The following is a 21,215-nucleotide window of genomic DNA, read 5'->3' on the forward strand; positions in this document are numbered from 1 at the left end:
CTAGGGTAAGTGGGACCGCGGAGACTGGAGCGGGGGCTGTCCCTCGGAGAGGGGCGGGGCTTATAGCTAGGGCCAACTGGAAGTCCAGGGTTGGGGTAAGAGAGGTGGGAGTATGGCAAAGGGGGTATTCAGTGGCGGGGCTCCCCCAAGAAGGCTCGACCGCAAGTAGCGGACGGAGAGAGATCAGAGCGAGTGGGAGGGGCAGCCAGAGGGAGCGCCTGGGGTGGAGAAGGACTAGCAGCTCTTAGAAGAGAGCGGGCAGGGGTTGGGTGAGGGTCTTCCCTCTGCCTTCAGGACAGACCGGAGATGGGGCGGGACTCGCTCGAGAGGGGTTAGGGCCGGCCAGAGTCGGTTCCCCTGCAGGGTGGGACTTCCTCGGTGAGGCCCGGAGCGTACCGGACTGGTCCAGCTAGAAAAAGAAAGGTTTTGAGCTGAATAGGATAACCCCGCGCCTGCGGCTATCCGGAAGGGGTGGAACCAGATTGGGGGAAGGCGGGGAAGAGCGCTTGACTGAGGGAAGATGCTGGCGCGCTCTGAGGGAGGAGCCAGGAGCCATTTGCCTTCTCATTGGTTGGGACCTGGCCCTCCCTCTTGGCCGCGCCCCCTGGTTTCCTGACACCGCTCCAACCTTAACCTTAAGCCCCGCCCGTTCCTCCGAAATTGGGTCGCAGTCCCACCCTCTCTCCTAGTACTTCCTGTTCTCGGCTAACCCTGGCGCTGGGCCGGGGGCTGGAGAGTGACCGTGGTCTGAGTGACCTGGGGCGGCTGCGTGGGCCGGGGTGGGCCTCAAAGCCGGGCACCAGACGGGAGGGGCGGCGCTCGGGCCGCGCGCTGCCCGCGCCGGGTCCTGGCGGGCGGCGAGGCTGGGGCTGACTCCTGCCTCAGGATGCCGGGGGAGGAAGAGGAGCGGGCCTTCCTGGTGGCCCGCGAGGAGCTGGCGAGCGCCCTGAGGAGGGATTCCGGGCAGGCGTTTTCCCTGGAGCAGCTCCGGCCGCTACTAGCCAGCTCTCTGCCGCTAGCCGCCCGCTACCTGCAGCTGGACGCCGCACGCCTTGTCCGCTGCAACGCTCATGGGGAGGTGAGGCCCGGCCCCGCTTGGAAGGGGGACACCAGGGCCTGAGGCCCAGGCCACGCTCACACCTCTCTGCTCTCCTTGCTCCCAGCCCCGAAACTACCTCAACACCCTGTCCACGGCTCTGAACATCCTGGAGAAATACGGCCGCAACCTTCTCAGCCCTCAGCGGCCTCGGTACTGGCGTGGTGTCAAGTTTAATAACCCTGTCTTTCGCAGCACGGTGGATGCTGTGCAGGTGAATCCCCTGGCCTTATGGGAGAGGGGGCTGGGGTTTGGCTAGAAAAGGCCTGAGGTTGTGCTGAATGGGAAGGGGTCCAGCCCTACTAGGCAGGAAACCTCCTGGGTGGTGACTCGTTTGAATGTGTGGCAGGGGGGCCGAGATGTGCTGCGATTATATGGCTACACAGAGGAGCAACCAGATGGGTTGAGCTTCCCCGAAGGGCAGGAGGAGCCAGATGAGCACCAGGTTGCTACAGTCACACTGGAAGTACTGCTGCTTCGGACAGAGCTCAGCCTGCTATTGCAGGTGAGATGCTCCTCTAGTCTTGATGGACTTATGCACCAGGGCTGGGGAGCCCAGCCTAACTCAAGTAAGTTTGAGGACCCCCGTGCTGCTGAACTATGGGCATAGTTCAGCATTCTGGGAGCTCCGGGTACTGATTTTCCTTCTGTGAATGTTAAGGGACCAGGGCTTAGAGGGAGGGCTTTGTTCTAGGGGTCTAGCTGGAAACCGTTTTTATCTGTATTATTGCAGAATACTCATCCAAGACAGCAGGCACTGGAGCAGCTGTTGGAAGACAAGGTTGAAGATGATGTAAGGAAGGCAGGAAAGGGGCTGGTGTACAAAGGAAACAGGAATTGTGAGACTCTGTGTCCCTAAACCCTTATTCATTCCCTGCCCTTTCTTTTTCAGATGCTGCAGCTTTCAGAATTTGACCCCCTATTGAGAGAGATTGCTCCTGGCCCCCTCACCACACCCTCTGTCCCAGGTATTATTGGTCCTAAATTGGGGACCAGGTAGGAAGCTATATTGATGGAAATTTGGGATGCTCCTCTGTCTTCTTGGTTATCTTCCTTTGTGTTTGTTTGTTTTGAGACGGAGTTTTGCTCTTGTTGCCCAGGCTGGAGTGCAATGGTGCGATCTCCGCTCACCGCAACCTCCACCTCCCGGGTTCAAGCGATTCTCCTGCCTCAGCCTCCCGAGTAGCTGGGATTACAGGCATGCGCCACCGCGCTCGGCTAATTTTGTATTTTTGGTAGAGATGGGGTTTCTCCATGTTGGTCAGGCTGGTCTGGAACTCCTGACCTCAAGTGATCCACCCACCTCAGCCTCCCAAAGTGCTAAGATTACCTGCATGAGCCACCACGCCCGGCCTCTTTGTTTTTTAAAAGAGATTAAAATTGTTTCCTTGGGTCCAGATGTTTAAAAAGTAGTCTTGTGATTTGCCCCCATCCACAGCAGATTCAGATGTAGCCTGGTCTTTTTTGGAAAGATGTTCCATCTCTCCTGCCCTCCAGGCTCCACTCCTGGTCCCTGCTTCCTCTGTGGTTCTGCCCCAGGCACACTGCACTGCCCATCCTGTAAACAGGCCCTGTGTCCAGCCTGTGACCACCTGTTCCATGGACACCCATCCCGTGCTCATCACCTCCGCCAGACCCTGCCTGGGGTCCTGCAGGGTACCCACCTGAGCCCCAGGTGAGAGGGCTTCTCTTCTGGGTGGGAGTGAAATTTAGAGAACTTAAGATCACTTGATTATGGACTACCTGCCAGTTTCTGTGCTAAAGACTGTTTAATAGAGGACAAGTAGCCAGTCAGAACCCTGAAAGAGATAATAGACATACACATCAAGCAGGTAGCAATTGCAGTAACCCAGGTTGTTATGGTAATAGGTGGTTTGCAACCTAGTCTGAAGGGTCAGCTGAATCAGGTGGCAATATTTTAAACACCTAGTGTAGGTCAGGCCATGTGTTAGCAGTATCTACTAGGAAGAAGTGAGCTTTAAGCTGTCATTTAAATGTTGCATAAGCTATGGGTATAGGAGTATTCGAGACAGACAATGTGTGCAAAGGCCAGTGACATGAGTTGTTACCCAGGAAATGGAGAATGCTTAGAGGTGAGGGATCCAGGCACCAGGTGCCACTTCAGCAGGCCATGTCTGCTTTTCCATTACAGTTTACCTGCCTCAGCCCAACCACGGCCCCAGTCGACCTCCCTGCTGGCCCTGGGAGACAGCTCTCTTTCTTCCCCTAATCCTGCAAGTGCTCATTTGCCCTGGCACTGTGCTGCCTGTGCCATGCTAAATGAGCCTTGGGCAGTGCTCTGTGTGGCCTGTGATCGGCCCCGAGGCTGTAAGGGGTTGGGGTTGGGAACTGAGGGTCCCCAAGGAACTGGAGGCCTAGAACCTGATCTTGCACGGGGTCGGTGGGCCTGCCAGAGCTGTACCTTTGAGAATGAGGCAGCTGCTGTGCTATGTTCCATATGTGAGCGACCTCGGCTGGCCCAGCCTCCCAGCTTGGTGGTGGATTCCCGAGATGCTGGCATTTGCCTGCAACCCCTTCAGGTAACTGGCCTTCCCAGCTCTTTATCGTGTGTTACCTCAGGCATTCTCTTCCCTATCCCATGTTTTCCTTCAGTTCCTCCCAACTCCCTGTATTTCTGTTGTGAACTTCAGCCAGCCAGTCAAAGGGATAATTCTCTCTGCCTTCCCAGCAGGGGGATGCTTTGCTGGCCTCTGCCCAGAGTCAAGTCTGGTACTGTATTCACTGTACCTTCTGCAACTCGAGCCCTGGCTGGGTGTGTGTTATGTGCAACCGGACTAGTAGCCCCATTCCAGCACAACATGCCCCCCGGCCCTATGCCAGCTCTTTGGAAAAGGGACCCCCCAAGCCTGGGCCCCCACGACGCCTTAGTGCCCCCCTGCCCAGTTCCTGTGGAGATCCTGAGAAGCAGCGCCAAGACAAGATGCGGGAAGAAGGCCTCCAGCTAGTGAGCATGATCCGGGTAAGGACTGGGCCTGCGATGAGGTAGGGCTGAGCTGGTCTGGGAAAGGAGATGCTGCAGGTGGTTAATAGTTTCTATGAATCTTGTTATTGTTAGCAGCAGCTGCCTGTTACTGAGGCAGTTACCATTGCTGTACACTGATGACATGATCCATATGTCTGAGCTGAGCCACTGTCACCATCTTAGTTCAGGCTGAGGGTGGGTGAAGGGTGCCCCTCCTGATGGGCGGGACTGTGCCTTAGGAAGGGGAAGCCGCAGGTGCCTGTCCAGAGGAGATCTTCTCGGCTCTGCAGTACTCGGGCACTGAGGTGCCTCTGCAGTGGTTGCGCTCAGAACTGCCCTACGTCCTGGAGATGGTGGCTGAGCTGGCTGGACAGCAGGACCCTGGGCTGGGTGCCTTTTCCTGTCAGGAGGCCCGGAGAGCCTGGCTGGATCGTCATGGCAACCTTGATGAAGCTGTGGAGGAGTGTGTGAGGACCAGGCGAAGGAAGGTATCAGCTGTGCTGGATATGGGATAGGGTCGAGAGTCTGCATCTCTCACACTCTCCCTTGCTTGCTTTCCCACTTCATTCCCCCTTGCCACTCCCATCTTGCAGGTGCAGGAGCTCCAGTCTCTAGGCTTTGGGCCTGAGGAGGGGTCTCTCCAGGCATTGTTCCAGCACGGAGGTGATGTGTCACGGGCCCTGACTGAGCTACAGCGCCAACGCCTAGAGCCCTTCCGCCAGCGCCTCTGGGACAGTGGCCCTGAGCCCACCCCTTCCTGGGATGGGCCAGACAAGCAGGTGCTGGGAGGAGGCAAGAAGCCCAAGGGTCCACCTAGAGGAGCAAGAGGGAGCTGAGGGGAAGGGTCCCTGGAGTCTGACAGCACTTCCCCCCTCCACCTGAATCATATTGCAGAGCCTGGTCAGGCGGCTTTTGGCAGTCTACGCACTCCCCAGCTGGGGCCGGGCAGAGCTGGCACTGTCACTGCTGCAGGAGACACCCAGGAACTATGAGTTGGGGGATGTGGTAGAAGCTGTGAGGCACAGCCAGGACCGGGCCTTCCTGCGCCGCTTGCTTGCCCAGGAGTGTGCCGTGTGTGGCTGGGCCCTGCCCCACAACCGGGTAAGTCCCTCCCCACGATACCTGGTCCAAGAATTACTCTATTCTTTTGGACCCCCATCCTACCCCAGTCTCCATCTCTGATCCTGTCTTCTGCTCTTCAGTTGCCCATATACCCCTGAAGGCTCCTGGGAGGGGGAAGTCAGGAACAGGCTTATCTCCTCCCTTTTAAAACAATGTTCTATTATGGAAATTTTCAAACATGCAATAGTAGAAAAATTGTACTACACTGTATAACAAATTCCCATACCCCCCTGCAACCCCTCCACTTCCAGTGTATTTGTCATCAAGCTTCAGCAATTGTCAACAAACATGATCAGTCTTTATTTCACATATATACACAGATGGCTATTATGATATCAAATATCAGGCATAATATAGTTTATAAATGTTTCCGTATATATCTCTAAAATGTAAAACTTTATTTATTTATTTACTTATTTATTTTTTTTAGATGGAATTTCACCCTTGCCCCCAGGCTGGAGTGCAATGGCGTGATCTCGGCTCACTGTAACCTCTGCCTCCTCCAAGCAATTCTCCTGCCTCAGCCTCCTGAGTAGCTGGGATTACAGGCACCCGCCACCACACTCGGCTAATTTTTGTATTTTTAGTAGAGACAGGGTTTCGCCATATTGGCCAGGCTGGTCTCGAGCTCTTGACCTCTACAATTATTTTAAATACAGAGTAAAACCAAAATAAAACACATACAGAGCCAGTCTAACTACTCTGACCTAGAGTACGTGGAGTCTCAGGAACTAAGAAGGGCTTATTCCTATAAACTGGATATTTGCTGATATTAAAGAATTACCAGGCTGGGCGCGGTGGCTCACGCCTCTAATGCCAGCACTTTGGGAGGCCAAGGCAGGCCGATCATGAGGTCAGGAGATCGAGACCATCCTGGCTGACGCAGTGAAACCCTGTCTGTACTAAAAATGTAAAAAATTAGCCAGGTGTGGTGGCAGGCGCCTGTAGTCCCAGCTACTCAGGAGGCTGAGGCAGGAGAATGGCGTGAACTCAGGAGGCGGAGCTTGCAGTGAGCCGAGATCGCGCCACTGCACTCCAGCCTGGGCAACAGCGCAAGACTCCGTCTTAAAAAAAAAAAAAAAGAATTACTGTTCATTTTTGTGTGTGTGTGTGACAGTGCTACTGTGGCTATGTTTTCAAAAAGAATTTTGCTGGGCATGATGCCTCATGCCTGTAATCCTAGAGCTTTGGGAGGCTGAGGTGGGAGAATACCTTGAAGCCAGGAGTTAGAGACCAGCATGGGCAACATAACAAGACTCCCATCTCTAAAAAAATAAATAAAGGTCCGGGCATGGTGGCTCACGCCTGTCATCCCTGCACTTTGGGAGGCCAACGTGGGTGGATCACGAGGTCAAGAGATTGAGACCATCCTGGTCGACATGGTGAAACCCCGTCTCTACTAAAAATACAAAAATTAGCCAGGCGTGGTGGCGTGCACCTGTAATCCCAGCTACTCGAGAGGCTAAGGCAGGAGAATCGCTTGAACCTGGGAGGTGGAGGTTGCAGTGAGCCAAGATCGTGCCACCGCACTCCAGCCTGGGCGACAGAATGAGATTCCGTCTCAAAAAAAAAACTTAAATTAAAAAAAATAATAAAATACATAAAGTTGGCCAGGCGCAGTGGCTCATACCTGTAATCCTAGCACTTTGGGAGGCTGAGGTGGGTGGATCACCTGAGGTCAGGAGTTCGAGACCAGCCTGACCAACATGGTGAAACCCTGTCTCTACAAAAAATACAAAAATTAGCCGGGTGTGGTAGTGGGTGCCTGTAATCCCAGCTACTTGGGAGGCTGAGGCAGGAAAATCTCTTGAACCTGGGAGACAGAGGTTGCAGTGAGCCAGGATTGCGCCACAGCACTCCAGTCTGAGCGACAGAGTGAGACTCTGTCTCAAAATAAATTAAATAAATAAATAAATGTAGAATCTACAGGAAGTTTCAAAAATAGTGCATAGAGTCCTGTGTACTTTTCACTAACCTTCACTCAGCGATGACATTTTTTTGAGACGGAGTCTCGCTCTGTCGCCCTGGCTGGAGCGCAGTCGCGCAATCATGGCTCACTGCAACCTCTGCCTCCCGGTTCAAGCGATTCTCCTGTCCCAGCCTCCCAAGTAGCTGTGATTACAGGCATCTGCAATCATGCCCGGCTAATTTTTTTTTTTTTGAGACAGAGTTTTGCTCTTGTTGCCCAGCCTGGAGTGCAATGGTGCGATCTCGGCTCACTGCAGCCTCCGCCTCCCGAGTTCAAGTGATTCTCCTGCCTCAGCCTCCCGAGTAGCTGGGATTACAGGCATGCGCCACCACACTTGGCTAATTTTGTATTTTTAGTAGAGACGGGTCAGGCTGGTCTGGAACTCCAGATCTCAGGTGATCCGCCTGCCTCAGCCTCCCAAAGTGCTGGGATTACAGGCATAAGCCATGGTGCCTGGCCTAATTTTTGTATTTTTAGTAGAGACAAGGTTTCACAATGTTGGCCAGGCTGGTCTCGAACTCCTAGCCTCAAGTGATGCGCCCGCCTTGGCTTCCCAAAGTACTGGGATTACAGGTGTGAGCCAGCGTGCCCGGCCCCCAGTGGTGACTTCTTATATAGTTATAGTACAATATCAAGACCAAGAAATAAGACATTGCTCCAATGTTAGCTATACTACAGGTCTTGTTCATTTTTCTCATGGATATGCCGCTGTGTGTATGTGTGGTTCTATGCAGTTCTGTCCCACGTATGGATGCATATAACCACCACCATAATCAAGATACAGATTGTTTCATCACCACAAAGGAACTCTCTCATGTACCTCTTTAGTTATACCCTTCTGCCCCCACTTCTAGTCACCTGGCAACCATGAAGCTGTTCTCCACCTCTATAGTTTTGTCATTTCAAGCATGTTATTTGTATATTTAATGGAATATGAATGTTTTTATAGGCACTTTTGCCTTTACCTTAGGTGTCACCATTGTCTATTTTCCTCCACCCGACTGTCTTCAGATGTTTACGTTGCCTGCCTGGCCCCTGCTGGCACTTGAGGTTGTTAACCCTGCCCAGTTGTTAATTAGACCCTGATTTCTTAGTGGACACCTGGCCACTGCCTCTTCCCTAGCCTGGCAGCTGTGGCTTCTGACCCCCTCCCCTCCAACCCCTCACCCTCCAGATGCAGGCCCTGACTTCCTGTGAGTGCACCATCTGTCCTGACTGCTTCCGCCAGCACTTCACCATCGCCTTGAAGGAGAAGCACATCACAGACATGGTGTGCCCTGCCTGTGGCCGCCCCGACCTCACCGATGACACACAGTTGCTCAGCTACTTCTCTACCCTTGACATCCAGGTACTGCAGCCCCTCTAGGACTCAGGTACCCTGAGCTTTGAACAGGGACCCTCCCACCCACCACCTCTGCATCCTGTCCCCAGCTTCGCGAGAGCCTAGAGCCAGATGCCTATGCGTTGTTCCATAAGAAGCTGACCGAGGGTGTGCTGATGCGGGACCCCAAGTTCTTGTGGTGTGCCCAGGTAAGTGGCCTGCCCAGGGCAGCTACTGTGGAGGGGCAGGGGATGGTTCCAGGTCAGGCCTTTGATAACTTTATGCTCTTGCACTTCCAGTGCTCCTTTGGCTTCATATATGAGCGTGAGCAGCTGGAGGCAACTTGTCCCCAGTGTCACCAGACCTTCTGTGTGCGCTGCAAGCGCCAGGTGAGGCACATTCATCCTTTCAGAAATACTTGCTGAGCTACTGCCAGGTACTGTGTTAGACTCAGGGGAGTTTGTGTACTGGAGAGCAAAACAGACATGAGCTCTGAGGTCAAAAGAGCTTACAGACTACTCAGAAAGACTAGGCACAAGGAGAAAGGGAAGCAGAGGGAGGGAGGAAATCGGGAGGGAAAGGAAAGGGGAGGAGGAAGGAAGGAAGGAAAGAAAGTAAGCCAGAGGAACTAATTATACATAGGCATAAATTCTATGAAGAAAACAAACAGGAACCTGAGATCAGGGTAACAGAGTGGACCTACTTAGGGTAGAGAGGTCAGACAAGTCTTCTCTAAAATGGTTTAAGCTCAGGCCTAAACATTAAAAAGAAGCCAGCCATGCAAAGAGCATTTGGGAGAGAAAGAACAACACATGGAAAGGCCAGAATCAGAAAAAAGTGTTGTATGGCTGGAGCCTGGAAAGCAAGGCGGGAATGGCAGGTGGTCAGAGAGAAGCCAGCTGCCAGGTCTGTAGAGCCCTGGAGGCCACGTGAAGCAGGCGTCCGTCTGCCTTCATTCTGAGATAAAGCAAGGGTGATACTATCTCATTTATCTTTCGTTTATTTATTTATTTATTTATTTTTAGAGACAACTCACTGTCACCCAGGCTGGGGTCCACTGGTGCAGTCACAGCTCACTGCAGCCTCCAACTCCTGGTCTCAAGTGATCCCTCGCCTCAGCCTTCCAAAGTACTGGGATTACAGGCATGAGCCACTATGCCCAGCCACATTTATCTTTTAAGAAGTGTAATATTTGGCTAGGCATGGTGGCTTCCGCCTGTAATCCCAGCACTTTGGGAGGCCATGGTGGGTGGATCACTTGAGGTTGGGAGTTCAAGACCAGCCTCCCAATATGGTGAAACCCCGTCTCTACTAAAAATACAAAAATTAGCCGGGTGTGGTGGCATGTGCCTGTAATCCCAACTACTCTGGAGGCTGAGGCAGGAGAATCGCTTGAACCCAGGAGGTGGAGGCTGCAGTGAGCCAAGATCACGCCATTGCACTCCAGCCTGGGTGACAGAGCGAGACTCCATCTCAAAAAAAAAAAAAGAAGTGTAATATTTGATACGAAAAAAATTTCATCTGCATCATGTCTGAAATAAAGTGAACACCTGAGACTACCACAGAACCAAAACACCACCAATCCTGTGGAAGCTACCTGACTTACAGTTTTGAAGGACTTTTGACAGCCATGGGGAGAATTGACCCTAGGGGAGCAGGAATGGGAAACAGAGAGACTAGTAACCGAGGCAAGCAATTGAGGCAAGGTCTGATGGTGGCCTGGAGTAAAGTGGTAGCAGTAGGGATGAAGGAAAAGGGGATATGGTTGAGATGGTCTGTGGGGTGGAAACAAGGCAAAAGTAGTGTGAGGTGGTAGGAGAAAATGAAAGGACCAAGGATGGCCTCTCATTTTGAGATCTGAGCAAATGGTAGGTGGCAGTGACATAAACCAAGCTGGGGAACCACTGGATGTGAGTGGAGGGGCCAGCAAGAAAGGCCAGGGGATGGGATAGAGCTCCCATGTGAAGCCTACTTTCCCTCTGGCAGTGGGAGGAGCAGCACCGAGGTCGGAGCTGTGAGGACTTCCAGAACTGGAAACGCATGAACGACCCAGAATACCAGGCCCAGGGCCTAGCAATGTATCTTCAGGAAAACGGCATTGGTAAGGCCTCCCTACTCGGCCTGTTTGCTCAGAAGCCTGTCATTGCCAGCAGCTCTCTTCCTGAGGGCCTTGAGTTGCAGCGGCAGCTCCAGCCCTGACCTCTTGTCCTTTGCAGACTGCCCCAAATGCAAGTTCTCGTACGCCCTGGCCCGAGGAGGCTGCATGCACTTTCACTGTACCCAGTGCCGCCACCAGTTCTGCAGCGGCTGCTACAATGCCTTTTACGCCAAGAATGTAAGCCCAGAGAGTTGGGGAAGGGGTGGAAGGGTGGGGGGTGCCATTGGCTTTGAGAGTCAGAGGCTATTGAGGAGTGGCCCCGGGGAAGAGAAGAGGTCAACGGGATGTAAAGCACAACTCTCTGTCCCCTTACCCTTTGCTTGCTCCTCCAATGTCTCCATCTCCCCTCACCCTTACACCCCTCACGCAGGGGTTCCTGAGAGGCCAGGACCCCAACAGTCTCCAACTTCCTCTCTCCCATCTGGGTTTCTGCCAGAAATGTCCAGAGCCTAACTGCAGGGTGAAAAAGTCCCTGCACGGCCACCACCCTCGAGACTGCCTCTTCTACCTGCGGGACTGGACTGCTCTCCGGCTTCAGAAGCTGCTACAGGTCAGAGGTGGCCAGGAGAGAAGAAGACAGGGCCCAGGGTGGGCAAGAATGGAAAAGGCTCCGTGCTAGGAATTGCAACAGGGACTTGGCATCAAGGGGAATGTAACACCCATCTGTCTCTCCTCCTCAGGACAATAACGTCATGTTTAATACAGAGCCTCCAGCTGGGGCCCGGGCAGTCCCTGGAGGTGAGTGTTAGGACAAGCCTTTGAGAAGAGGAGATGGTGTGCTGGGCTCCCACCGTGTGATGGGTAAAGGGGAGGCTTGGGTCTGGGGTCACTTGTTGCATGCCCTTTGGCAAGTTAATTGAGACCCAAGGCCTTGTTTCTTCCGCTGTAAAATGGAGGTAGTATCCACCTTGCAGCTAAGCCATTTTACATAAGACATCTTTAAAGAACCTGGTACCCAAGAAGGCATTAATACTAATTTTCTTCTCCCATTCCCAAATGATCATAATTAATTAATTAGTTCAATGAGTGTTTAATGAGAAGTGCTAGTTGCAGGGCACTGTTTTAGGTTCCATGAGGGCAACAGAAAGGTGTTACATATGGTTCTAACCTCTGTCACTTCTTACAGTGTAGACAGAGGTAAGTCTACAGTCCATACCACCCTGAATGTGACTGATCTTTTCTGATCTTGGAGGCTAAGCAGGTTCGGGCCTGGTTAGTACTTGGATGAGAGATTGGCTGGGAATTCCAGGTGCTATAGGTTTTAAATTTATTTTTTAAAAAATAGAGGTGGCCGGCCGGGCACATTGGCTCATGCCTGTAATCCCAGCACTTTGGGAAGCCAAGGCGGGTGAATCACGAAGTCAGATCGAGACCATCCTGGCTAACACGGTGAAACCCCATCTCTACTAAAAATACAAAAAATTAGCCGGGCGTGGTGGCGGGCGCCTGTAGTCCCAGCTACTCGGGAGGCTGAGGCAGGAGAATGGCATGAACCCGGGAGGCGGAGCTTGCAGTGAGCAGAGATGGCGCCACCGCACTCCAGCCTGGGCAACAGAGCGAGACTTCGTCTCAAAAAAAAAAAAAAAAAAAAAAAAAAATGTGGCTGGGCACGGTGGCTCATGCCTGTAATCTCAGCACTTTGGGAGGCCGAGGCAGGTGGATCACCTGACGTCAGGAGTTCGTGACCAACCTGGCCAACAAGGTGAAACCCTGTCTCTACTAAAAATACAAAAAAATTAGCAAGGTGTGGTGGCAGGCACCTGTAATCCCACCTACTCGGGTGGCTGAGGCAGGAGAATCACTTGAACCCGGGAGGTGGAGATTGCAGTGAGCCAAGATTGCGCCATTGCACTCCAGTCCAGCCTGGGCAACAAGAGTGAAACTCCATCTCAAAAAAAAAAAAAAAAAAAACCAGAGGTAGCCAATAGCCAGGAGTGGTGGTGGCTCACACCCATAATCCCAGCACTTTGGGAGGCTAAGGCAAGAGGATTACTTGAGCCCAGGAGTTTGAGACCAGCCCAAACAACATAGTGAGACCCTGTCTCTATTTAAAAAATAAAAATAAAAAAAAGAGGTAAGATCTTCCGATAATAAGTTAACTAGTCAAGAGATAAATAACAACCAAAAAAAAAAAAAAAAAAAAAACACTATCTCAAGAGGGTATGTGTTTATGAGCCAAAAGCCAGCTTGGATAAAAGTAGGGACAAGGTCCCTGCCTCTGTATCAGATGGTCTGCCGTTGACGGCACCTCTGAGTACCCACCAGCACCACTGGGAAAGCAGGAGTTGCTGTGCTCGGTCCCTTCCTTGGAGGCTGCCTTCCCTGCCTTGTGGATATCCCAGTTCTGGAGCTTTGTGGTCATTGGCCTCCCAACAGAGGCTCCCTTCTTCCCTCACCTTTAGGCGGCTGCCGAGTGATAGAGCAGAAGGAGGTTCCCAATGGGCTCAGGGACGAAGCTTGTGGCAAGGAAACTCCAGCTGGCTATGCCGGCCTGTGCCAGTGAGTGCCAGCAGGACATGGGCATGGTGTTGGGCAGTGGGTAGAAGTGGTGAGGGCATGCCCAGGCAGTAAAATGGGTCCTTGGGAGCAGTAGGTCTTGCAGTGGGTGGGAGGGAGGAGGCTTTCTGGGCAAGGGCATGGGTAGATAGTAGCAGGCAGTGTGGGCACAGGTGGGTTGTTAATCTTGTTCGTCCAGGTGTCTCAGAGTCCAGCTATGTTAGACACACTCAGTTAATATTAGCCAACACAACAAATATTCTGCTCCCTTTTCTCCCCAGGGCACACTACAAAGAGTATCTTGTGAGCCTCATCAATGCCCACTCGCTGGACCCAGCCACCTTGTATGAGGTGGAAGAGCTGGAGACGGCCACTGAGCGCTACCTGCACGTACGCCCCCAGCCTTTGGCTGGAGAGGATCCCCCTGCTTACCAGGCCCGCTTGTTACAGGTATAGCCTCCACCCAGCCTCATCTCTTAACCCACCCTACAGAAGTCACCTGGTGCTGACTGTGTCTGAGCTCCAGGCTTCCAATATCATTACCTTCTCTCTCCTTCTGCAGAAGCTGACAGAAGAGGTACCCTTGGGACAGAGTATCCCCCGCAGGCGGAAGTAGCTGAGGGCAAGGGTCCCGATGAGGGTCCCATGGCCTGCTCCCTCAGGAACAGCTCCAGCACCAATAAAGAGGCATCTTACCACCCAGGCTTCTTGGTGGTCCTTCTTCCTGGTGCCACCATCTAGGGGCACCAGGGAAAGAGCGGGGTGAACAGAGCTTTGCTGAAAAGGGCCCCCTGCAACCTAGTGCCTGACCCTCCCTGGACTCAGGACCAGGAAGGAGTTGACACCCTGGATGGTCAAGGGAGGCCCTCCCCATCCAGCAGCCTGGCCTGGGCTTCCTCCCTCCCTGCCTCCTTTTTTCCTTTCATAGAATTTGACTGGTATTTGAAGTCACCCAATATGTATCAGGTGGGCACTGTGGGGGAATGCAGATGCACAGGTGTACACAGCAGTCCAGAGGTCCCAGGCCTGACTCCAGGAAACTGGCCTCCCTGGGGAAGCCACGGTGTCACCCAGAGGTCAGATAGAAGCAAGAGTATCTGAGGGAGGCAGGGGAATGAGCCAGGCTGGAGCTGAGCCAGCAGGGCAGGGCCCCCCTGCTGCGACAGTGGCATCCTGATAGTGAGATGCTCAGATGCTGCTGCCCTCTAGTGGCCGCCAGTTCCCTGCAACTCAGACCACGTGATTTCTGGGAAAAGGCCCTCCCTGGAGGAGAACTGAAACTTAGGGTGGGGACTGTAGAAAGGGGCGGAGAGATCAGCCGCCCAGCCAGGAGTTAAGCTGAGGTCGTCTGAGCCCTGCGACAGCCTGGACAGCAACTCAGGTAAGATCAGCCAAGGATGGGAGTCAGCCTGGGATCTAGGGCTAGAAAGTCCAGCCAGATTGAGGGCAGGGGGTCCTAGGGGTCGCTCTGTTAGACTGAGGGATAGACAGAAGATCTCTTAAGTCAGGAAGTGGGAGATTCAGCCTGAGAGTGAGACTGACAAGGGCCAGCTCCCCAGACCCTTGTAGGCAAAGGTCAGGAGGACCTACTGCTGGATTGTTCAAGGAAGAAGGCTCCTGGCCCCAGCCTCAGTGGACCATTTGTTTCCTTGCCATCTGGCCCTGCCCACTTCTGCTGCAGCTCCAACCCCACCCCTACTTCCTGCCCCACCTACTCCTGGGGCCGGCAGGGGGTGGGGGTCAGGCTAGGTTGTGTAGGCTGTGGGGCGGTGGGTGAAGAGCCTGATGGATCTCAGCAGAACCTACCTCTGCTGATGCTCGGGAATCTAGACAGGGCCTGTCACCAGGAACGATCACCAAAGGAATTCTTTTGTAAACAATACATCTCTGAAAAGTCCTAAAATTAAGACCAGTGCCCAAGGTTTCCTTCCAGGTATCACAGCTTAGAGTGCTAAAAACAATGTTTTGGGGGGTTTTGTTGTTGTTGTTGTTGTTTGTCACTGCTAGTGATGGCAGAAAGGAAACAATTCTGTCCCATAGAGTGTTGAAATGTGTTTGGAGCTAAAAGAAGATGGATGGGATCTCTGGGACCTGTTGCCAGAATCTAGTCTCAATGGCCAGGGTCTCAGGAGATGTTCCCTCCCAAAGTGTCAGTTCTGATGCATCCTGCTCCTATTATCCCCCAGGATGGCATCAGGCAGGGCACGCTGCACCCGAAAACTCCGGAACTGGGTGGTGGAGCAAGTGGAGAGTGGGCAGTTTCCCGGAGTGTGCTGGGATGATACAGCTAAGACCATGTTCCGGATTCCCTGGAAACATGCAGGCAAGCAGGACTTCCGGGAGGACCAGGATGCTGCCTTCTTCAAGGTGAAAGGGCCTGGAAACCACTGTTCCTCTGTGTGTGGGATGGTGTATACACACTGGTACACTCATCCTCGAGCACTTGCGTCTGCCTGGGTTTCAGATAAGGGACAGATTGGAGAGGAAAACTAGCTGCATCATTTGCAGAGTCCAGTACAAAATGAAAATGTGGAGGCCTTGTTCAAAAATTTTAGGGATATTGGCCAGGCACGGTGGCTCACGCCTGTAATCCCAGCACTTCGGGAGGCCAAGGTGGGTGGATCACGAGGTCAAGAGATCAAGACCAGCCTGGCCAACATGGTGAAACCCTGTCTCTACTAAAAATACAAAACTTAGCTGGGCCTAGCGGTGCATGCCTGTAGTCCCAGCTACTCGGGAGACTGAGGCAGGAGAATCGCTTGAACCAGGGAGGTGGAGTTGTAGTGAGTCGAGATCGCACCACTGCACTCCAGCCTGGTGACAGAGTGAGACTCTGTCTCAAAAAAAAAAAAAAAAAATTTCCAAGGATTTCAAGATGGCAACGCAGAGCACAGACCCTGCATAATCCCTTCTGAGCTCAGAGCTGCACGCCTGTAAAGCCAGTCCTATTGGAGGGGCAGGTGGAGCCTGTAACACACTGCCTCTTCTTCCCTTGCTTTCTTTCCTAGGCCTGGGCAATATTTAAGGGAAAGTATAAGGAGGGGGACACAGGAGGTCCAGCTGTCTGGAAGACTCGCCTGCGCTGTGCACTCAACAAGAGTTCTGAATTTAAGGAGGTTCCTGAGAGGGGCCGCATGGATGTTGCTGAGCCCTACAAGGTGTATCAGTTGCTGCCACCAGGAATCGTCTCTGGTGAGTTTCCCCTTGTCCAACCACTGCTAGACTCAGCAGACTGGGGAGGAAGGATAGATGTGCAGGCTTCCCCCAGGCTTATAGCTCTGCCCTGTCCATGCCCTTGGGGGGCTGCAACCCAGGTTTCCCTTCCTAGACCTGCCCATCCTTCACTGCCTCAGACCTCTCCTTCACCCTCTGTCCTTGCTCAAGACCCTGACCTTTCTCTGTCCCTCAACAATTCCACAGGCCAGCCAGGGACTCAGAAAGTACCATCAAAGCGACAGCACAGTTCTGTGTCCTCTGAGAGGAAGGAGGAAGAGGATGCCATGCAGAACTGCACACTCAGTCCCTCTGTGCTCCAGGACTCCCTCAATAATGTAAGAGATGGAGAGGGAACTGGGTGGGCCTAAGGGCAGGACAGTAACCAGAGGGAGAGGTGGGCCAATGAAAGACACTGTGTCTTGGGAGGCCGAGGCTGGCAGATCACGTGAGGTCAGAAGTTCGAAACCAGCCTCGACCAACATGGTGAGAACCCGTCTCTACTAAAAATACAAAAATTAGCTGTGCGTTGTGGCATCTGCCTGTAATCCCAGCTACTCAGGAGGCCGAGGCAGGAGAATCGCTTGAACCGGGGGGCGGAGATAGCAGTGAGCCGAGATCGCGCCACTGCACTCCAGCCTGGGCAACAAGAGTGAAACTCTGTCTCAAAAAAAGAGAAAAAAAATAAAAAGACACTGTGTCCGCAGGAGGAGGAGGGGGCCAGTGGGGGAGCAGTCCATTCAGACATTGGGAGCAGCAGCAGCAGCAGCAGCCCTGAGCCACAGGAAGGTACCACCTGCCCTGCCTCTTGTGTCGTCCCCCATGCCACACCCTCTGGCCCAAGACTCCCCAGTCCCACTCTGAATGACCAGTGCCTTTGCTTCCCTTCCAGTTACAGACACAACTGAGGCCCCCTTTCAAGGGGATCAGAGGTCCCTGGAGTTTCTGCTTCCTCCAGAGCCAGGTACGTGGCATTTCTGACTTTCTCCTGTGCCCTGTGCCCCTGAGGTCTTCCACCTTTGACTATGCATGCATTATCTAGTCAGTCAGGGCTTACAGCAAACTGTACCCACATTACCATAGCCCTAGGCAGTGGTTTCTAGGTGGCGAGAATTCCATATGCCTGGCCAGACTCCAAAAAGCTTGCTTCCCAAAAATACCACCCTATACACTCTCCTGGAAATCTACATTGAGACATTGATTTCATTGGGCCAAACAGAGGCCCAATCTCAAGGGACCTTCTAGTAAACTACAAGCCCCTGGGCATTGAGCCCTGAGGCCTCATGGTGAATCACATACTAGCTACTTGCCTCAGTGATAGGAAAACCTGAGAGGAAGCCCCCTGGCTGGTGTGGGGAGGGGAGGTGGAGTTGTTCCCCTGGGGAGGGGCTGCTGCCAGCCTGCATGCTCCTCCAGCACCAGGTAGGGCTGTTCTATCCCCAGACTACTCACTGCTGCTCACCTTCATCTACAACGGGCGCGTGGTGGGCGAGGCCCAGGTGCAAAGCCTGGATTGCCGCCTTGTGGCTGAGCCCTCAGGCTCTGAGAGCAGCATGGAGCAGGTGCTGTTCCCCAAGCCTGGCCCACTGGAGCCCACGCAGCGCCTGCTGAGCCAGCTTGAGAGGGGCATCCTAGTGGCCAGCAACCCCCGAGGCCTCTTCGTGCAGCGCCTTTGCCCCATCCCCATCTCCTGGAATGCACCCCAGGCTCCACCTGGGCCAGGCCCGCATCTGCTGCCCAGCAACGAGTGCGTGGAGCTCTTCAGAACCGCCTACTTCTGCAGAGGTGAGGCTGTTCTCTCTGGGCACATGAGCTTCCACCCCCTACCTCTTAGTACCCCCTGGGCCCAACTTGTTGGGTCCTGCTACCTCCCTATCTGCCAGCAGATCCTCCATGTAGCCTATGCATGGCACTCCTGCGCTTGTGTGTTGCATATCCTGTGTGGCCATATGCCCAGCCTGGCAGCTACCTGGCAGCTCTCCTCCAGCCAAGACAATGGAAGAGGTGGTTCAGGTAGAGCCCAGCACAAGAGTGTCATATCTTGGAGAACACCATCACACTGAAGCATGCAGTCACTATGTGAAGGTGCACAGAAGAATTGGCACAGAGATTTTGAGCCTCATGGCCTTCTCCTACGTACACACATTTGGGAGAGCTGGCACACATCACACACACTGGCCCTGGCTGCACCGTCTTTACCACACTCCAGGCATGCCTTAGGGTTGCGCTTCTCTCCCATCCAATTCCAGCTCCTACTCAATTCTAAACCTGACCTTAAGAGTGGGACCAGGTGTACAGGGGGTGCAGAGTGTGGGTGTTCCCAGGGCCATGGGTGCCCTAGCACTGGGAGGATGTGAGCAAGTAGCAAAGGTCTGGGCACATCTGAGTTAGCAGCCAGGGCTGCTACCTGGGAGGACTCTAAACTCTCCCAGCAGAGAGCTTGTCGGGCTGTGCTGTGATCTGCTACTTCTAAGCACTTATATGAGGCAGGGGCACCCTTTCCTATTTGCACATGGGTGAGTAGCACTTAGTTCCAAGTACTTCTGACCTTGCAGCTCCTGCTCTGGCAAGACCCCCTCCTACCTCTCTCCATCATGGGTTCCTCACTATTGCCTCCCTGCCTGTGGCCCTCTCTCTTCTTTTTGTTCTTCGAACCCTTGACCCTTTCTCTTTCAGACTTGGTCAGGTACTTTCAGGGCCTGGGCCCCCCACCGAAGTTCCAGGTAACACTGAATTTCTGGGAAGAGAGCCATGGCTCCAGCCATACTCCACAGAATCTTATCACAGTGAAGGTGAGCTCGGAGCAGGGGTAGAGTACCCATCTAATGAGAGCAGAGACAGTGGTGCTCCAGGAGGCAAAGGGGGTCTCCCAGTGGGGAAGGAGCTCCTGGGGGTGGTGTCTGTCCCTGATGCACGCACTGAGATGCTCTTCTCCATCTCTTCCAATACAGATGGAGCAGGCCTTTGCCCGATACTTGCTGGAGCAGACTCCAGAGCAGCAGGCAGCCATTCTGTCCCTGGTGTAGAGCCTGGGGGACCCATCTTCCACCTCACCTCTTTGTTCTTCCTGTCTCCTTTGAAGTAGACTCATTCTTCACACGATTGACCTGTCCTCTTTGTGATAATTCTCAGTAGTTGTCCGTGATAATCGTGTCCTGAAAATCCTCGCACACACTGGCTGGTGGAGAACTCAAGGCTAATTTTTTATCCTTTTTTTTTTTTAATTTTGAGATATACGCCCTCTTTCATCTGTAAGGGACTAGGAAATTCCAAATGGTGTGAACCCAGGGGGCCTTTCCCTCTTCCCTGACCTCCCAACTCTAAAGCCAAGCACTTTATATTTTCCTCTTAGATATTCACTAAGGACTTAAAATAAAATTTTATTGAAAGAGGAATCAGTATCTGATTTTCTGGGAGAAGAAGGTAGCAGTGGTCACAGATAGAGATGTAAACTTAAGAGTGGGGCACTGGGGTTCTCTTCCTGCTGACATCTCCAGCCTCTTTCCTCTCCTCTGCCCACAGGTTCTGGCTAAGATGCTGCCTGGGCCCTGTGGGTCCTGGGCCTGGCACTCTACAGAGGTACCCTCTGGGCAGATAAGATTAGGGTGTGGGTTGGGCACCAAGCCTTCAGCCAGGCACTATAGCCACCAACTTCACATGGTAAAGTCTGGGCTCCACAGTTCTTGCTAGAAGGCCCCAACATCGGGCCTGAGGTTAGTTAGATTGGAGGTCTAAATGAAGAGGAGACACTTGAGGGTGACCTGAAACTATGGTCTAGAGGCCCTGGGACCTGAGAACAGAGGAGTCAGAGAGAAGAGTTGCTGAAACTGTACCTGCTGTTACTGGCACCTCTTCCTCCAGCACAATTTCACTGTCACCCCAGCAGGGTACTCCCAAACTGGATTCCTTGCTCTATCTAAGCCCCATAAAAGACACTCTGGCCGGCTGGGCGCAGTGGCTCACACCTATAATCCCAGCACTTTGGGAGGCCAAGGTGGGTGGATCACTTGAGATCAGGAGTTCGAGACCAGCCTGGCCAACACGGTGAAACAGCGTCTCTTCTAAAAATACAAAAATTAGCCAGGCCTGGTGGCGGGCACCTGTAATCTCAGCTACTTGGGAGGCTGAGGCAGGAGAATCGCTTGAACCCGGGAGGCGGAGGTTGCAGTGAGCCAAGATCGTGCTATTGTACTCCAGCCTGGGCAACAAGAGCGAGACTCTGTCTCAAGATTAAAAAAGAAAAAAAAAAAAAGCACTCCGGCCTAGACTGCCATGTCATGCTGTTCATGAGACTTGAGGGCTCCAAATTGGCTGACACTCTTCTTTCCCCCATGTTCATTTTACTACGAAACTGGAAGTTTTTCCTTCACCACAAGGCCACTTGTCACCTACTTTTTTGTACACTCACTTCCAGCAAACTAGTTCCAACCCAGGCCACAGCCTTCAGCTTCCTTCTTCCTGCATATGACACCAGCTTAGCTTTCCAGACTTCCTTCTGTCATTTCACCCTTCAGCCCTCAATGGTTCACACACATGATCAAATCTGGATGCCTAAGTCTTCCTAGGACCTTCTTGCTGCCTCATTTGACAAGCTTCAGTGCTGCCTTTGAGCCTCCCTGCCTCCATGGACCTCCCTTCTTCCCTTCAGTCTTGTCCATCATCCCACTGGGAAGCCAAGCACCTAGACATTCTCTGCACTAGCAGTGAAGAAATGAGGTACTGAATGCAGAGGTGTACAAACCCTGTTGTGCCCTCAATGTGATGCAATGTGATGAAATCCTTCCTGGACCTTCTTTGTACAAGGTCTAAATTATCTCCTTGACTTCCATTTTATTTTAATTATTTTGATTAAAAACA

At 52.9% G+C, this 21,215-nt stretch overlaps 2 protein-coding genes and 1 pseudogene across 6 annotated transcripts, besides 8 other annotated features; all 3 read left to right on the forward strand.

Annotated features, from left to right (window-relative positions):
• Positions 63-13,843, forward strand: RNF31 (ring finger protein 31). 2 transcript variants are annotated; one of them, NM_001310332.2, is made up of 21 exons: positions 63-95; positions 1,164-1,310; positions 1,446-1,665; positions 1,830-1,889; positions 1,989-2,064; positions 2,594-2,771; positions 3,249-3,636; positions 3,786-4,076; positions 4,319-4,567; positions 4,673-4,858; positions 4,974-5,180; positions 8,345-8,518; positions 8,602-8,700; positions 8,791-8,880; positions 10,478-10,592; positions 10,708-10,826; positions 11,086-11,199; positions 11,330-11,387; positions 13,052-13,148; positions 13,427-13,595; positions 13,708-13,843. In NM_001310332.2, exons 3-21 carry the CDS (start codon positions 1,624-1,626, stop codon positions 13,759-13,761), a joined length of 2,766 nt encoding a protein of 921 aa, NP_001297261.1. In that variant the 5' UTR covers positions 63-95; positions 1,164-1,310; positions 1,446-1,623; the 3' UTR covers positions 13,762-13,843. The 2 variants fall into 2 exon arrangements, with proteins under 2 accessions (NP_001297261.1, NP_060469.4); NM_017999.5 differs by lacking the exon at positions 63-95 and adding an exon at positions 686-1,078 and having other exon boundaries at positions 1,446-1,601.
• Positions 214-283: an enhancer, noted in NCBI's record as "active region_8190". NCBI's record gives its function as "activates an Ori minimal core promoter by ATAC-STARR-seq in GM12878 lymphoblastoid cells {active_cell/tissue: GM12878}" and the evidence as "EXISTENCE:reporter gene assay evidence [ECO:0000049][PMID:35858748]".
• Positions 421-921: an enhancer, noted in NCBI's record as "H3K27ac hESC enhancer chr14:24616442-24616942 (GRCh37/hg19 assembly coordinates)". NCBI's record gives its function as "activates a minimal SCP1, AML or CMV promoter by ChIP-STARR-seq in naive H9 embryonic stem cells {active_cell/tissue: H9 hESC(naive)}" and the evidence as "EXISTENCE:reporter gene assay evidence [ECO:0000049][PMID:30033119]".
• Positions 421-953: a biological region, named in NCBI's record as "H3K27ac hESC enhancer GRCh37_chr14:24616442-24616942".
• Positions 468-762: an enhancer, noted in NCBI's record as "tiled region #11827; HepG2 Activating DNase unmatched - State 1:Tss, and K562 Activating DNase matched - State 1:Tss". NCBI's record gives its function as "activates a minimal TATA promoter and a strong SV40 promoter by Sharpr-MPRA in HepG2 and K562 cells {active_cell/tissue: HepG2 | K562}" and the evidence as "EXISTENCE:reporter gene assay evidence [ECO:0000049][PMID:27701403]".
• Positions 604-693: a silencer, noted in NCBI's record as "silent region_5627". NCBI's record gives its function as "represses an Ori minimal core promoter by ATAC-STARR-seq in GM12878 lymphoblastoid cells {active_cell/tissue: GM12878}" and the evidence as "EXISTENCE:reporter gene assay evidence [ECO:0000049][PMID:35858748]".
• Positions 724-953: a silencer, noted in NCBI's record as "silent region_5628". NCBI's record gives its function as "represses an Ori minimal core promoter by ATAC-STARR-seq in GM12878 lymphoblastoid cells {active_cell/tissue: GM12878}" and the evidence as "EXISTENCE:reporter gene assay evidence [ECO:0000049][PMID:35858748]".
• Positions 11,791-11,910, forward strand: RNA5SP383 (RNA, 5S ribosomal pseudogene 383; annotated as a pseudogene).
• Positions 14,180-14,569: an enhancer, noted in NCBI's record as "active region_8191". NCBI's record gives its function as "activates an Ori minimal core promoter by ATAC-STARR-seq in GM12878 lymphoblastoid cells {active_cell/tissue: GM12878}" and the evidence as "EXISTENCE:reporter gene assay evidence [ECO:0000049][PMID:35858748]".
• Positions 14,453-19,753, forward strand: IRF9 (interferon regulatory factor 9). Of its 4 annotated transcripts, NM_001385400.1 has the most exons (10): positions 14,453-14,526; positions 15,332-15,512; positions 16,154-16,337; positions 16,566-16,696; positions 17,066-17,147; positions 17,251-17,322; positions 17,775-18,143; positions 18,245-18,371; positions 19,035-19,150; positions 19,310-19,753. In NM_001385400.1, exons 2-10 carry the CDS (start codon positions 15,333-15,335, stop codon positions 19,441-19,443), a joined length of 1,395 nt encoding a protein of 464 aa, NP_001372329.1. In that variant the 5' UTR covers positions 14,453-14,526; position 15,332; the 3' UTR covers positions 19,444-19,753. The 4 variants fall into 4 exon arrangements, with proteins under 4 accessions (NP_001372329.1, NP_001372330.1, NP_006075.3 ...); NM_001385401.1 differs by lacking the exon at positions 18,245-18,371; NM_006084.5 differs by lacking the exon at positions 18,245-18,371 and having other exon boundaries at positions 17,802-18,143.
• Positions 15,559-15,618: an enhancer, noted in NCBI's record as "active region_8192". NCBI's record gives its function as "activates an Ori minimal core promoter by ATAC-STARR-seq in GM12878 lymphoblastoid cells {active_cell/tissue: GM12878}" and the evidence as "EXISTENCE:reporter gene assay evidence [ECO:0000049][PMID:35858748]".
• Positions 19,754-21,215: the final 1,462 nt, after the last annotated feature.

The sequence above is a fragment of the Homo sapiens genome, chromosome 14 (assembly GCF_000001405.40).
Source record: "Homo sapiens chromosome 14, GRCh38.p14 Primary Assembly".
NCBI lineage: Eukaryota > Metazoa > Chordata > Mammalia > Primates > Hominidae > Homo > Homo sapiens.

What these genes read in the sequence shown, in the direction of transcription:
- IRF9 (NM_001385400.1), top strand. Translation starts at nt 15,333, where the DNA reads ATGGCATCAGGCAGGGCACGCTGCACCCGAAAACTCCGGAACTGGGTG. An exon ending in TCCAGGACTCCCTCAATAAT is followed by an intron (nt 16,697 to 17,065) that starts GTAAGAGATGGA and finishes CTGTGTCCGCAG; the next exon opens with GAGGAGGAGGGGGCCAGTGG. An exon ending in CAGCCCTGAGCCACAGGAAG is followed by an intron (nt 17,148 to 17,250) that starts GTACCACCTGCC and finishes CTTCCCTTCCAG; the next exon opens with TTACAGACACAACTGAGGCC.
- RNF31 (NM_017999.5), top strand. Translation starts at nt 887, where the DNA reads ATGCCGGGGGAGGAAGAGGAGCGGGCCTTCCTGGTGGCCCGCGAGGAG. An exon ending in AGCTCAGCCTGCTATTGCAG is followed by an intron (nt 1,602 to 1,829) that starts GTGAGATGCTCC and finishes GTATTATTGCAG; the next exon opens with AATACTCATCCAAGACAGCA. An exon ending in GGCCCGGGCAGTCCCTGGAG is followed by an intron (nt 11,388 to 13,051) that starts GTGAGTGTTAGG and finishes CCTCACCTTTAG; the next exon opens with GCGGCTGCCGAGTGATAGAG.